Source organism: Homo sapiens, chromosome 6 (assembly GCF_000001405.40).
Source record: "Homo sapiens chromosome 6, GRCh38.p14 Primary Assembly".
Classification (NCBI taxonomy): Eukaryota; Metazoa; Chordata; class Mammalia; order Primates; family Hominidae; genus Homo; species Homo sapiens.
Window position 1 is genome coordinate 155,145,606 of NC_000006.12, and position 15,921 is coordinate 155,161,526.

General features: G+C 44.0%; 1 protein-coding gene across 3 annotated transcripts in view, besides 1 other annotated feature; it reads left to right on the forward strand.

Annotated features, from left to right (window-relative positions):
• The window catches only part of TIAM2 (TIAM Rac1 associated GEF 2), a 262,409-nt gene that overhangs the window by 150,291 nt on the left and 96,197 nt on the right, over positions 1-15,921 (forward strand). For all 3 annotated transcript variants that reach the window (NM_012454.4, NM_001384546.1, NM_001384547.1), the window contains one exon: positions 2,505-2,729. In NM_012454.4, coding sequence (NP_036586.3) covers positions 2,505-2,729 — 225 coding nt within the window. The remainder of the gene's footprint in view (positions 1-2,504; positions 2,730-15,921) is intronic.
• Positions 13,989-14,158: an enhancer, noted in NCBI's record as "experimental_91096 CRE fragment used in MPRA reporter constructs". NCBI's record gives its function as "activates a minimal promoter by MPRAs in K562 erythroleukemia cells, with activity observed for the introgressed 6:155480813 variant allele {active_cell/tissue: K562}" and the evidence as "EXISTENCE:reporter gene assay evidence [ECO:0000049][PMID:34662402]".

The window sequence follows — 15,921 nt, forward strand, 5'->3', positions numbered from 1 at the left end:
CCCATCTAAACCCAGCACTTGACATACACACAGTGTTGGCCGTAGGTTACATCTGACTGGAAGTTTCATGGAAAGCCTCGTAAAGCTTGGGTTTAGATCTCTCATAAGGATGGTCCTGGGTGCCCTCAGAAGCCCTGCAGAGCAACAGTGTTCTCTAGGCTGACTTTGGGAGTCTAGAATGCTCAGAAGTGCTCCCTCACTTACCCAGTGCTGGGTTAAGCTCCCTGGGCCTTTAATTGTACTGCCATTCCCAACCTGACTTAACTTACTAGAGCCAGGGCCTGAGATTTGATTTTCCTTTTCTTAACAGAAAGGTTGCTTAAAACCTTCTATGATACTTTAAAGCAAAGTAATGAATTTATGTTAGTCTGAATTGTAAGGAAGGTAAAAAAACAAACAACAACAACAAAAAGTTACATTAAATCTGCATGGATTTCTTAGGGTCAAGTGTGAAATGAATGTTTTATTTTGTGATTCAGGTAAAACATCCTTAGTTTTGAGAGTTTTCCCGCCTGTGATCCCAGCACTTTGGAGGCTGAGGCAGGAGGATGGCTTGTGGCGAGGAGTTTGAAATCAGCTTGGTCAGCATAGCGAGGCCCCATCTCTACGAAAGAACAATAAAAAAATTAGCCAGGCATGGTGGTGCGCACCTGTGGTCCCAGCTACTTGGGAGGCTGAGGCTTGAGGATCATTTGAGCTCAGGAGGTCAAGGTTACAATGAGCTATGATTGTGCCACTGCACTCCAGCCCAGGCGACAGAGTGAGACCCTGTCTTAGCAACAACAACAACAGAATTTTCCCAGGTGTTCTGTTTTGTGATCCCAGAGGCCACTTGAGGTTTGACCCTGTGACTCGAATGTGTGTGGTTATTTCTAGACATCAAGAGAAATGAAAGTACTTGTCAGCCTGCTTAGAATCATACCCATTTGCCCACTTTATTCAAACTTTGCTTATTGTTTTTAAAATATTTTTCTTTTAAAAAATGTATCATTATTATTATTATTATTTGAGATGGAGTCTTGCTCTGTTGCCCAGGCTGGAGTACAGTGGTGTGATCTCAGCTCACTGCAACCTCTGCCTCCCCGGTTCAAGCAATTCTTGAATTCCTCCCTCAGCTTCCTAAGTAGCTGGGATTACAGGTGCCCGCCGCTATGCCTGGCTAATTTTTTTTTTTTTTTTTTTTTTGTATTTTTAGTAGAAACTGTGTTTCACTATGTTGGCCAGGCTGGTTTCGAACTCCTGACCTCAAGTGACCTGCTCGCCTTGGCCTTCCAAAGAGTGCTAGGATTATAGGCGTGAGCCACCACGCCTGTCCTATTATTATTTTTTAATTGACATGGGGACTTACTGTGTTCCCCAGGCTGGTCTTGAACTCCTGGACTCAAAAGTCCTGGGATTACAGGCATGAGCCACTGTGCCCAGCCAAAAATAAACTATTTTTCTTTTATACAAATAGTATGTGGTCTTTGTGTTAGAAGTCACTGAAAAATAGAGAAAGGAAAAACCTTGATATATTCAAAGACAATAGCATTATTTTGTTTCCCCCCAATATACTTTTATTTACATTGTTCTTTTTTTTTTTTTGTATTGAGGCCATACTGTAGATGTAATTTTATATCCAGGTTTCAAAATTTCATATTCTAGTCCTAATGTTTACTCATTCTGTTAAAATTCCGAAGACAAGTATCCTTTTATTTATTTATTTATTTATTTATTTTTGAGATTGAGTCTTGCCCTGTCACCCAGGCTGGCGTGCAGTGGCACGATCTCAGCTCACTGCAACCTCCGCCCCCTGGGCTCAAGTGATTCTCCTGTCTCAGCTTCCCGAGTAGGTGGGATTTCAGGCATGCACCACCACACCCGGCTAATTTTTGTGTTTTATTTATTTATTTATTTTTGAGACAGAGTCTCACTCTGTTACCCAGGCTGGAGTGCAGTAGCGTGATCTTGGCTGACTGCAACCTCCGCCTCCCAGGTCAAAGTGATTCTCATGTCTCAGCCTCCCAAGTAGCTGGGCTTACAGGCATGCGCCACCACGCCCGGCTAATTTTTGTATTTTAGTAGAGATGTGGTTTCACCATATTGGCCAGGCTGGTCTCGAACTCCTGACCTCAGGTGATCCACCTGCTTCAGCCTCCCAAAGTGCTGGGATTACAGGCGTGAGCCACCGTGCCTGGCCAAGCATCCTTTTAGAGAGTGGCGTAATGTATCATGAGTGTGTCTCCCCTGTTGTTCTTATCACTCCTGTGTTGTTGGCTAGCACTCGTTTCTGGTTTTAGTTCCTGTCCTAGTCAGAGCTCCATGATGCTTTCTGCTCTGCTCCTAATGTTCTCTGAGTCCCTCTGAACCTGAGTTGAATGGTTGAATGTGTTTTTGAAATTAAGCAGCTTGTATGCAGTGCAAGTACTTCTTGGGTTTTGTACATCTAAGCCCAGCCTGCCATTTTGGAGAGCACTTTAGTGGTAAAATGATTCGAAACAGGCTTTCTCCCTCCCTGTGTGTAGGCCACCAGCCAGACAGATCTAGAAAACTGGGTCACTGCTGTACACTCTGCTTGTGCATCCCTTTTTGCAAAGAAGCATGGGAAAGAGGACACGCTGCGGCTGCTGAAGAACCAGACCAAAAACCTGCTTCAGAAGATAGACATGGACAGCAAGATGAAGAAGATGGCAGAGCTGCAGCTGTCCGTGGTGAGCGACCCAAAGAACAGGAAAGCCATAGAGAACCAGGTACTGTTTGTCTACACCTGAGTTTTCTTCCATTGCTCATGTCACTTGTGCAGTGACTGAACGCATGCTGTCATCTTGGTGGTATTTCTTGGCTCACATCTTGGTGGTATTTCTTACACCCTGGGGGAAATAATTTCTGTGGTTTTTCATTTTAGGTACCTAATGTTTGCCATTTTGTGACATGGGTGATATGATATGCTTTATGACCTTTGGCGGCTCTATGTATATACTGAAATATTTTGTGACCCAAACTTAATTCCTAATTTGAATAGTGCCTTCTGGCCTTGATGATTCACTCATATATTGTCATTTTCTGAACAAAATCCATACAATAAAACCACTAGAAGATTAGACAGGTAAGATTCTAATACAATAGCTTTGGAAAACGTGGTTTGGTGTAACAGCTGTTTCTGTGTCTATGGATTGCAAAAAAACAGTAATTTTTCTGGTTATAACAGAGAAGCACGTAACGAAATGCTTTCTTTTCTCTGCTGCGGTTCCATATTCATATAATAAATGGCTGCTTCCTATGGCATTTGCATTTTAGAGAAGGGAAAACAGTTTGAAAATTTTTATTTCCCTTTGCTCAGACAACCTAAACACTTAGACAAGTGTTAGTGGAATTTCGAGCATCCCTATCTTAGTCAGGTTTCCTAGGAGACAGACTTTGATAGTGATTTAGATGTAAAAAGTTTTACTGGGAATGCTCTCAGGGACAACGCCAGCCTGGAGTGAGGGAGCAGGATCTGGGAGGGACAAGTTGCATTGTGATGCAGCTTGTCCCACAGCGAGCTGTGGAGCTGGGAGGGCCATTCAGAGCTCTGCATGGAGGCAGGGTGGCCGGCCTTCGTCCCCTCAGGCCAGCAGGGCAAGGCAGCTCCCCTCAATAGAGGTGAGTTACCACGAGGGGATCTGTGTGTGAGCTGGGAAAAGGAAAGCAATGCCTCTGTCTTGAAGGGGGAATCCGGGTGATTCACTATAGAATCCACTACAGCCCCCTCCAAAACCAGTTGTCAAATGACCTGGGAACTTGAATGAGGAATGGGATGAAGATAGATAGTGAGCAGGTTCTTGCATTTTTCTTCCTTTAGTTACTTGTTAAGTTATTACAGAGAAACCAGTTTCTTTAGGAAAAAAAATTTCATGGTAACACAACAATTTAGACATAGTGTGACTTATTAGAAAGGAATTTTACATGTGGTGTTTTATTTAAATTGCAAATTAAATAATACCTCTGTTTATGTCTGAATGTTTAACCTTGTTTGGAAGTTTTTTCATCTGTGTATATATGAAGAATTCAGCATGAGGCTGGGCATGGTGGCTGACGCCTATAATCCCGGCGCTTTGGGAGGCCGAGGTGGGCAGATCACCTGAGGTCAGGAGTTTGAGACCAGCCTGGCCAACGTGGTGAAACCCCATCTCTACTAAAAATACAAAAATTATCTGGGCACGGTGGTGGGCGCCTGTAATTCCAGCTACTCTGGAAGCTGAGGCAGGAGAATCGCTTGAACCTGGGAGGCAGAGGTTGCAGTGAACCAAGATTGTGCACTGCACTCTAGCCTGGGGGAAGAGTGAGACTCTGTATAAAAAAAAAAAAAGAATTCAGCATGAGTAGGAAAAAATTTCTGTCTAAAAATAGGAAACTGATTAAAGGCATGCATTCAATGATACACCGAGAATTTGGAATAATGTATCAATTGGCAATAGCAAAATAACCAAATAATTCCGACCTCTGCCCCTCATTAATCTTCTCACTCTATCTACCTTTGCTTCTCCTTTTCTCATATCTCATGTTGCCTTTCTCCCATCTCAGCTCTTTCCCTCCTGCTTATTTTCCCATCTGCAAATACTGGTGTACCTAATAGATGCACCTGGCTTAAAGAAATAAAAATAATTGTAAAATATGGACCCCGTTTCTAAGAAATTATAATTTAGTTAGAGAGCAAGCCTTATGAACATGAAACTAAAGGTCATTCTAAAATGATCGAAGTTAGGTGACAGCTGGTATAGTCATCAAATATTATGGGAGATCAGAGGGTTGAGGTTGTACTGTGATCTTGAGGAAATGAAGACTTCCTGGAAGAATATGGTGTTAAAAAGTTGTTAAGAGGTGTGAAGGATTTCCAGGCTGGAAGGGTGTTGGGCGAGCATGGAGAGACAATTGGAAGTGACTGAGTGGTGGCTTGGGGCTCTGGAGCACACTGGAGTCAAAGGTTTGGGAAGTGACAAGAGTTGGCAGTTAGGTTGGATAGGCAATGAAGCTTTTTCAGTCTGTGTCTTAGTCTGGAACAAAATACTGTAAAGCGGGTGGCTTATAAACAAGAGCAATTTATTTCTCAGAGTTCTGAAGGCTGAGAAGTCCAAGATCAAGATGCCGGCAGATTCAGTGTCTGGTGAGGCCCTGCTTTCTGGTTTCTAGAAGCATCTTCTTAACTGTATTCTAGCATGACATGAGGAGCGAGGGATCTTTCCGGGCCGCGTTTTATAAGGCCATCCATCCTATTCACGAGGGCTCACCATTATGACTGTCGTGCGCAGTGGATTAAGCAGTGAAGGATGAAAGACACCGTAACTTAATGCTTGAATCACACAGTTTGTTGGCACGCAAACAGTTCTTAACAGATATTGGTATTTTATCCCCATTCACGCTACACACAACTCTTGTTTTTCACCCTGTTAGGAACAAGTCGGGGATCTTACATGAATAGGCACAGGATTGGTCACAGAAGTCCTCAGGCATCTGGGAATAGCTTCCCCTGGTATCAAGGCTGGAATGTTGAGGCTGAAGCATTCAGTCAAGGAGATGGCAAGCCTGACTCCGGGTCCCTTTCTGAGTGGCAGCATCTCATCCTCACGAGTCTGTGTCTCAGCAGAGCAGGTCGAGCTGCCTGAGGGCTTCTCTTTTTATAGTCCCTGTTTGGGGATCCACCTGTGTCTGGTTATCTTGAAGGTTGGTGCGCCCTAGCATGTGATGTCGTCTCAAATTGGAATATCCCAATGCAGTTGGTCTAAACAGATTTGGGCATTCTGGCAGACATCTGCACTTACAAACTAACTGTGATAACATATTTACACTATACCCATAAATTGCACTCCAAACAATGACCTAATCATTGCCCCTTTTAAAAAGGCCCCACTTCCTAATACCATCACCTAAAGCATTAAGATTTCAACGTACATATTTCGGAGGGACACATTCAGCCCATAGTGGTCTTGTATGCAAGGCTCAGATGGTAAGGTTTATTTTATACTCTGCTTTCAGGTGGGGGGATACAGGTTTTTAAGCTGAGGACAAAGCATGATGACTGTAGTGTCTTTGGAAGATTAATCAGGCAGCAGCTTGGAGGACAGAGTGGGGCAAAAGGTGTCAGGCAGTGGAGTGGCACTGTGCTGGGTGTATAGATACAAGGGCCTGGTCCCAAGTGACACAAGTTCAACAGTTTACATGGAAAATGTATAACAGGGTACATAATTTTCTGTAATTCTATAGAATCTTTTTTTTTTCTTTTTTTTTCTTTTTTTTTTTTGAGACAGAGTTTTGCTCTTGATGCCCAGGCTGGATTGCAATGGTGTGATCTTGGCTCATCTTAACCTCCACCTCCCAGGTTCAAGCGATTCCCATGCGTCAGCCTCCTGAGTAGCTGGGATTACAGGCGCCCGCCACCACGCCCGGCTAATTTTGTATTTTTAATAGAGACGGGGTTTCACCATGTTGGTCAGGCTGGTCTCGAACTCTGACCTTAGGTGATCCGCTTGCCTCAGCCTCCCAAAGTGCTGGGATTACAGGTGTAAGCCACCACGGCTAATCTCAATTTTTTAGAATCTTAAAGACAGTAACTTACACCCCTGAGCGGAACTGTTGCTCAACCAGGATATGCCATTTAAACTCCAAAGTACAAAATAGTTTTAACGAGGAAGCCAAAACTGCCAAGAAGAATGCAGGAGGTGGAAGGCTTTGGGATCCAACAAGAACACAGCTGCTGACATTGCTGAGGGAGAGCTGCCCCCACGAGCCCAGCTTGCCTCCTCTCAGGCCCTGCCTGCCCCTCTTAAGGGGCCTCACCCTGCTCACAGCCAGGGGGCGTTCAGCTCCCGAGGCAGTGCAGCCGTACCTCCCCGCTCTCTGTCTGTGTGGAATGTAGGTTGGGAGTCCATGTGGAGGTGATGGGACAGATCAAAGAGCCTGAAGGAGACACGGTTATCCCAGAGTTTTCTTTGTACCATGTCTCATCCATGGTGCTGATTTTCCAGGATCCGGCAGCCACAGCCTGTCTATCCTGAGATGAGACTTGTGGATCCGAGTGTCTCAGAGTGTTCAGAGCACCCCAGTCAAAAATCTCATCCTGACCATAATCGTAGTCGAAGGGATGCCCAGCTTGGAGTTTTCAGGTCTTTGGGTAGGGTCAGATGTTTAGGGCTAGGGAGAGAAAAGGGACATTTGGCAACACTGAGAGGCTCCTGGCCTGTTGTGTGTGTGTGGTGGTGGTGGGTGGGGGTTTCTCTGTGGCCACAAGGAGTCTAAGCAGACATTTTTTTAAAAATTTAAATTTGCATTAAATGTAATTGTATTCCCTTGTCCATAGTTTGTAAATGTTTAATTGATGACATCATAGTTGGTGCTATTCTCTGATTAAGAGGGGAGGTTACTTGAACATAAACCCTTACATAAATCCAGGGGTCTGGATGGTCAGGTGGCCTGAAGAGAAACTGTTTTAAAGAATGAGGGTAATTATCACTTGTGGTCCATTATCCATTCTTTGACAGAATCATCACTTTAGTTATTTTAAGTGCACCTTTCTAATGCTACTAATTTTTCATTTTTGGTTCTCCCCTCCCCATAGCCCAGGCCCTAACCCCTTCCTGTGTCCTCCCCACACTCCCTTCTCCCCTACACCCTTCTCCCAACCCCTGCCGTACATGCACTCCCTTTCTCATGTTAGTCTTGTGAGTTTCTGGTAACAGACAATTGGGATTGATTTTAGAAATTCTTGTCCAGGCACGGTGACTCACACCTGTAATCCCAGTACTTTGGGAGGCTGAGGCTGGAGGTTCATTTGAGGCCAGGAGCTCAAGATCAGGTGGGGCAACACAGCAAGACCCTATTTCTGAAAAAGAAAAAAAAAAGAAATTCTACCTGGAAGTATTCTCCTCACCGTATTGCACTCTTTGAGGTTATGATTTAGTCACATGTTCCTGAAGGGCTTTGTAGTGTGTAGCCTGAGTTATGTTTGCTGTGCCCGCTGTCCTTGCATCCTTTGTCAGCAGGTTGTAAAGGAGCTGTTTACGCTTTTTTTTTTTTTTTTTTTTGACAGAGTCTTGCTCTGTCACCCAGGCTGGAGGGTAGTGGCGCAATCTCAGCTCACTGCAACCTCCACCTGCTGGATTCAAGCAATTCTCCTGCCTCAACCTCCCGAGTAGCTGGGATTACAGGCACCCACCACTACGCCCAGCTAATTTTTGTATTTTTAGTAGAGATGGGGTTTCACCATGTTGACCAGGCTGTTCTCAAACTCCTGACCTCAGGTGATCTGCCTGCCTCGACCTCCCAAACTGGTGGGATTACAGGCGTGAAACCACTATACCTGGCCAAGAGCTGTTTACTTTTTACCTTCAGACACAAAGACTGGGAAGCATTAAGCAGGAACAAGTACTTGCTTAAAATTGCTTTTATGAGATATTTGACAAAAAAATGTAATGTGAAGCCACAAAGGCAAAGGTATTTACAGATCAAGACCAATCAGGACAGGGTCTCCAAAATATTCCCTAAGCATTTAGCTTTCTCTAAACTTCCTTTTAAAAATATCTGTAAAAGAGCAGTGCTTTATCCACTTAGCATTTTAAAACCTCAATAAATATACATTTATTTATGTAGCTTCCTCCCCAGCGGTTTTCCCTGAAAACCTCAGATGTAGTCATTTCTAGCCTAAAAATAGAATGTGCAATGTAGGTGACATCATGCAACAGAAATTCTCTGGAACAGGTTTTCTTCGAAGTACGTGGGTGGAGAAGATCCTTTTTGAAATAAAAAGGCACTATCGCAGTTGTAACATACCGGCTGAGCTACATACGGTCAGTGGTGACATGCTCTGGCCGTGTCCTGGGCCTCTTGGGTGTTTCTGGGGCAGGATGATGCAGCTTTCATTTGAGCATGTCCAATGTGGACCAGATCACACCGCCATCCACACGCCAGATCGCCTTTGAAGTTCCCAGGGAGGAAGAGTTGTAAATTAAGTCCAGTTAGTACTTTATTTGCCTTTCTGCTTATTATTTCAAACAAGTAAACAAGGACAAAACCTCACCACCCTTAGGCAGTCTTGGCATTCTCCCAGATGGCATCCCCCATCCTGCCTCATTATGTGCGATTTCCAGGGTAGACAGGCCTGCTTCTGTGGTTAATTAGGCTGGGGAGGGAGGAGGTGGTTGGACTACCAGGGGTTGCTGTGGGGAAGGAGGAAGCACTTGCTGGTAGGGTTCAGACTGCTCTGGGTTTTATGAAATGTGGGCTTCAGTTTAAATATTTACTTAAATACAGTTTTAAAATCATAAAGAGGACGGATTGCGTTTGGACAATTGGCAACTGGTGAAGAGAACAATGAGAACAAGGCTTTGAGGAAAATACGAGGATACTGTGGTGTATTTCTGGATGTGTACAGGGGGAAGCAGTTTGAGGAACAAACCACTGGAGTGTAGCATATTTGTGAGGGGATTTGAGGGAGATAAAGTCAGATTGTGGAGGTGGTGGGTGAAGATGTGAACTTTATTCAATAGGCAATAGGGAGATGGTGAAAGTGTTATTTTTTATTTTTTATTTTTTAAGGCAGGCAATAGGGAGATGGTGAAAGTGTTATTTTTTATTTTTTAAGGCAGAGTCTTGCTGTGTTGCCCAGGCTGGAGTGCAGTGGCATGGTCTTGGCTCACTGCAACCTCTGCCTCCTGAGTTCAAGTGATTCTCGTCCCTCAGCCTCCCAGGCAGCTGCGATTACAGGCATGTGCCACTACGTCCTGGTAATTTTTGTATTTTAGTAGAGATGGGATTGGCCATGCTGGTCTCAAACTCCTGACCTCAACTGATCCGCCTGCCTCAGCCTCCCAAAGTGCTGGGATTACAGGTGTGAGCCAGTGTGCCCAGCTGGAAGTGTTTTTATTTTCTATTTTTTTGAAACGGAGTCTTTCTCTGTCGCCCAGGCTGGAATGCAGTGGTGTGATCTCGGCTCACTGTAGCCTCTGCCTCCAGGGTTCCAGTGATTCTCCTGCCTTAGCCTCCTGGGTAGCTGGGATTACAGGCGTACGCCACCACACCCGGCAAATTTTTGTATTTTTTGTAGAGACGGGGTTTTGCCATGTTGGCCAGGCTGGTCTCGAACTCCTGACTTCAGGCAATCTGCCCGCCTTGGCCTCCCAAAGTGTTGGGATTACAGGCATGAGCCACCGCTCCCAGCCTGGAAATGTTTTTGTTAGGAGAATAAGAATGTTTGGTTTAGTTAAATGAGCGTTTGTTCGGTGCATACTCTGGGTCAGGCAAATGTGCACAGACTGGAGACTCAAAGAAGTCACTGTCTCTGCCCTCAGTGACAGTGGCACTGCTAGAGAGAGTGCTAGAGCCTTCAGTGACAGTGGCACCTGCTAGAGAGAGGTGACAGACAGTTGAGCTCTCAGTCTAGCAGGTGACAGACAGTTGAGCATACAATTTCAACATAACACAGTGATTCAGTGCACGTGGCATTCCAGTGCTGTGGAAGACAGAAATGGGAAATATAGCCTCATGTGCAGTCATGGAAGACCCTGGAGGAGGGAGGCCAAGTTGCTTCTTGAAAAATGAGGAGTTTACCGGGAGAATAGAGAGGGGTCTTCCAGGCCAAGGCACAGTGGGAGCAAATGCAGTGTGGTTTTAGGTAGGTGGTGAGAGGTAGACAGGGGAAGTAGGACTGTCTGTCACTCTCTCCTCCCGGTACCACTGCAGAAGCCTCCGGTTTCGCCCTTCGTCTGATGCATCTTCCATACAACAGCCAGACTGGGTTGCATCGGAAAAGCACATCTGGGTCAGGTGCAGTGGCTCATGCCTGTAATCCCAGCATTTTGGGAGGCCAAGGTGGGCGGATCACTTGAGGTCAGGAGTTCAAGACTAGCCTGGCCAATGTGGTGAAACCCCGTCTCTACTAAAAATACAAAAATAATTAGCCAGGTGTCGTGGCGCATACCTGTAATCCCAGCTACTCGGGAGGCTGAGGCAGGAGAATCGCTTGAACCCAGGAAGCAGAGGTTTCCATGAGCTGAGATCACACCATTGCACTCCAGCCTGGGCAACAGAGTGATATGTCTCAAAATAAATAAATAAATAAATAAAGTAAAAAAATAAAAAGCACATGTGATCCTGTGATTGCCAGATAAAGTCCCTGATAACCTCTCCCCACCTTGACCTTTATCTGCAACTCCCTGAGCCCACCCTTCTGCTCCTTTCTTTGGGTTTTTCCTCAGGCAGAGAGGACTCCTGTGCTGTGCACAAATGTGCCCTGCTCCCCTCCGCCCTCTTCATCTGGCTCACCCCTTCTCGACTGTCATGAAGGGTTTAGGGGTCGCTTCCTCCAAGGCGCTGTCCTTGATCGCCCTTTTGCCCACTCCATCAGGGAGCCCCACTCTCCTCCCACAGTTCTCCATGTCTGTGCCACTGCTGTCATCCATGGCTTTGTCATGATTTCTTCGTGTGTAAGGTTGCTCCTGCTATAAAATACGTGCTCCTGGAGGAACCGTGTCTGTTTTTTTATCTCTGAACCCTCGATGCCTTGCTTGAGTTAGTGAATGTGTGGAAGCACCTCTGTCTCGTCTGTCCAGGGATGCTGTCCTCTGTACTGCAGGAAACAGAGATCTTCTCTGAGTCAGCCACCACCCCACTTCCCAGTGTTCCAGGCCTTCCTGCTTCACCCCCGTCTAACAGAACGCCTCCTTTTGCCCTGCCTTGTTCTCATGCTCCCCTTCCTTGTTTTATCAGAGCCTCTGCCTTAGGCCACTATCATATGTGATTTCACAATAACTCTGCAAGGTAAAGATGTAGATATAGCACCCGTTTGTTGGATGAGTAAATAGACCCTTAGGAGAAGTATATTTCTTTTCTTTTTCTTTCTTTTTTTTTTTTAGAATTAAAAATTTTTTTAAAAAATAGAGACGAGGTCTCGCTATGTTGCCCAGGTTGGTCTCGAACTCCTGGGTGCAAGCGATCCTCCTGTCTCGGCCTCTCAAAGTGCTGGGATTATAGGAGTGAGCCACTGCACCCAGACGAGAAGTACATTTTCCGTATAAGTACCGTGCACTAACTGATTGCGCCACTGGAGCACCAAGAAGTGCATTTGCTAATGTCACACAGCTGGTAAGTGGTAGAGCTGGGATTTGGACACAAATCTTTGCTCCTAATTCATAGGCGCTACTGCTCCGTAAGACTTGGGTAAATCAGATGGTGCTTTGCTTGCTAACTAAACCAGGTGATGAATTGTTTTGTGTGGAATAGAATCCTTGATTTACTTGTTTTTATAACTTGGATTTTTCAGGTCGATTTGATGGGAATTACATTGATTATAAAACTGAGTGAATTTTTGGGTATGGGAATTATATCTCAAAGGAAAACAGAACAAAACCGAATCTCTCTACTTTAGCTGGTTGTTCTAAATACTGTTAAACTTGAGTGTCATCTATGTCACTAGCTGGTTCTTCTGTGAAGATAGGTTTTAGTATTTGGAAAGCATGGAACGGGAGTTTTTCAGCTTCTTACACCAAGAAAGAAACATGAATTATCTTATGGGACAAACCTAGTAATAGGCAAATGACTACTGCGATTAAATGACTAAATGGCAGAAAATATTTTTCTAGGACTGCTGGGTGTGGCAGGAATGTACTTGTCATCTTTTAAAAAAAAATCATTATTCATTTGTTATTTTTAGCATTAGGCTTCATCCCTCTCCCTCCCACTTTACTACAGGAGACCATAACCTTTCTGAGTTCATTAAATCAGTAAAGCTGTGTTAGCAATAAAGAGGAAAATTTTGCATTGAATTTGTGCCAATGTTTAAAAATGGGAGTGTTCCCCTGTAATTTTGTTATTAGTAACTTCCTTTCACAATGAAAGATAATGAAAACCTTCTCAGAGTGAGTTTTTTTCAGTCTTGTCTTTTTTATGTTTTGAGCATGGGCATTAAAAGAAACAAAAGCTCAATCTATATAGAAGTTATGTTTTTTACTTTTTTTTTTTTGACAGGGTCTCACTCTGTTGCCCAGGCTGGAGTGTGCAGTGGCCCTGTCTCGGCTCACTGCAGCCTCAACCTCCTGGGCTCAAGCTATCCTCCCACCTCTGCCTCCCACATAGATGGGGCTACAGGTGTGCACCAACCACACCTGGCTGAGTTTTGTGTTTTTTTATAGAGACGGGGTTTCACCACGTTGACCAGGCTGCAAGTGTTTTTTTTTTTCTTTTTATATCATATCTTGATGTTTATCTTTAAATAATAAGGAAACATCTAGAAACTTATCAGTATTTAAAGAATTTAGGAAAAGGGGGTGGGATGTCTTGGATTAAAAGGAACTGATTTTAGGCATTCTAGTTTTTGATGTTAGAAAAAAATATCTCCAGAAACACCTTGATAAATGTGGTCAGGTAATACATTACTATTTTGGTGATTATTATCATTGAACTGTACTGAATCTCTAAACTAACATACATAATAGCTAAAAGATTGTCTTTTTTTCCTTTACCCTTTAAAATATGTATCTTTGTCTTTCTTTTATGTCACCTTCTGAAGAATTGTTATAAAATGTTTTTCTTTCAAGTTAACATTACTTTAAATTTGGGCTGGCTTTGAATGTCAAGGCTGGTAGGATATTGAAATGTAAAGTGTTCAATATGAATAGGGCCACTGAGTGAGAGTGTGGTAGTCTTACCTCCTTCTCTGTAGAATACCTGGGGGTATATGGGCAGACATAAAGTGGACAGGTAAAAATGTAAATGAAAGTTGCTAAGGTCACTATGAGGATAGTGCACAGGTATCTTCCTATGAGTCAGAAGACCTGGGAATCAGGGGCCCCGTTATAGCTACTTGAGAGGGTCCCTGTCCCCTACATGTTGTTCACATCAGAATCGGCTTTGGGTCTGCTAGTCTGGTAGGGTGAGCTTTTTACATGACTGGTCAAATTGCTTCTCTTCTGGACTTAAGTCTCAACTGCTGAGAAATGAAGGTATGGTAATACCAAGTCCCTTGCAATTTCATTGTGAATGTTAACAGCCTTTCTAAATACTATAAGGTCTGTTGTGAGCCTTTGGGTCCAGCACTTGTACCTCTTCTTCCCTCTAAGGAACCCGAGCTTCTGAATCAGGGGCCTCACCGTACTTTTACTTGAATACTCTTTCAAGTTCCTCTCTACAACTTTGCTGAGTCTGTGGAAAGAAAAGTCAAATATTTCATATTGATTATTTAACCACAGATCTTCATTTAAGCTCTGGAACTGATTCTTTCTATAAAGAACCATGACCTTAAAAATAAGATGACTATGATCTTTCAATATGGAATAGATACGTGAGTAAAGATGGCTTACTCTGCCACAAAGATCTATAGGGATGAAGGCTGTATATAAGTCAGGGGTCTCCAGAGAAACAGAAACAGTAGGATGTGTGTATACCTGAAGAGGTGTGTGTGTATGTGTTTGTGTAGGGAGAGAATGAGAGAAATTTATTATAAGAAATAGGCTCATGCAGTTATGGAGAAGAGCAAGTCCCAAGATCTGCAGGGTAAGTCAGTAAGCTGGAGACCTGGGAGAGACAATGGTATAGTTCCAGTCTGAGTCTAAGGCATGAGAATGAAGACAGCTGATGGTGTAGTTCTAGGCTGAAGACTGGTAGGCTCAAGATTGAGGAAGAGCCCATGTTTTGTTCAAGTCCAAAGCCAAGGGGGAAAAAAAGCCAGTGTCCCAGTTTGAAGGCTGTCAGGCAGGAGGAGTTCTCTCTTACTTGAGGGGGTGTCAGCCTTTTTGTCCTCTTCAGGTGGTCAACAGATTGGATGAGGCCCACCCACATTAGGGAAGGCAATCCGCATTACTCAGTCTACCCATTTAAATGTTAATATCTCCCAGAACATCCTTGGAGACACACCCAGAATAATGTTTGACTAAATACCTGGTCACCCCGTGGCCCAATCAAGTTGGTACATAATATTAACCATTACGCGGGTGGATCGCTTTGAACTCAGGAGTTTGAGACCAGCCTGGGCAACATAGTAAAACCCTGTCTCTACAAAAAAAATGCAAAAATTAGCCAAGCATGGTGGCATGCACTTGTGGTCTTGAGAGGCTGAGTTGGGAGGATCACTTGAGCGCAGGAAGCAGAGGTTGCAGTGAGCCAACAATGTACCACTGCATCCCCAGCTGGGGTATCAGAGTGAGACCATGTCTCAAAACAAAAACAAAAACAAACAAACAAACAAAAAATCACTCCAGTCAGGATAAGGTTAAGAAGGATAAGGAACATTGTTGAAATAGAGAAGTCATAAGGTTACTTTTCCTTTGCATTTTCTACTAAATTAAATTTTAAATGAACTTTACAGTGTACAGTTTATTGAGATACTGGTTGTCTTGAAACTTAATAAGATACAATCAAGACAACAAACGTCTTGATTTTTATAAGGTCTCCTTTGGGCTATTGGGGTGTCCCAGCCCTGTTGACTTTCCAACAAACCTAAGCATCTGGGTCCATGTTCTCCCTCTGAATTCACCTGTATTTTGTCCCAAGATTTGGGTGGAGAGGTCTATGAGTGCTGAAGATTATTAAAGTGTTTCTGATAAAACTTTATGATTCCCTGTGTATCCCTGTGTGCTCATTCCCGATCTGAGCCGGGGTATCGGGTCTCACTCTGATAACCCCAGCTGGGGATGCAGTGGCACATTGTTGGCTCACTGCAACCTCTGCTTCCTGTGCTCAAGTGATCCTCCCAACTCAGCCTCTCAAGACCACAAGTGCATGCCACCATGCTTGGCTAATTTTTGCATTTTTTTGTAGAGACAGGGTTTCACCATGTTGCCCAGGCTGGTCTCAAACTGTCTTTACCTCTCAGTACTGCTTTGATGTGTAGTCACATAAGTACATTAAATAGTGCTGTTAAAAATACTTTTAAAACTACAGGATTCAGTGCAAATACAAGAGATTGTCTTCTTCCCCAAC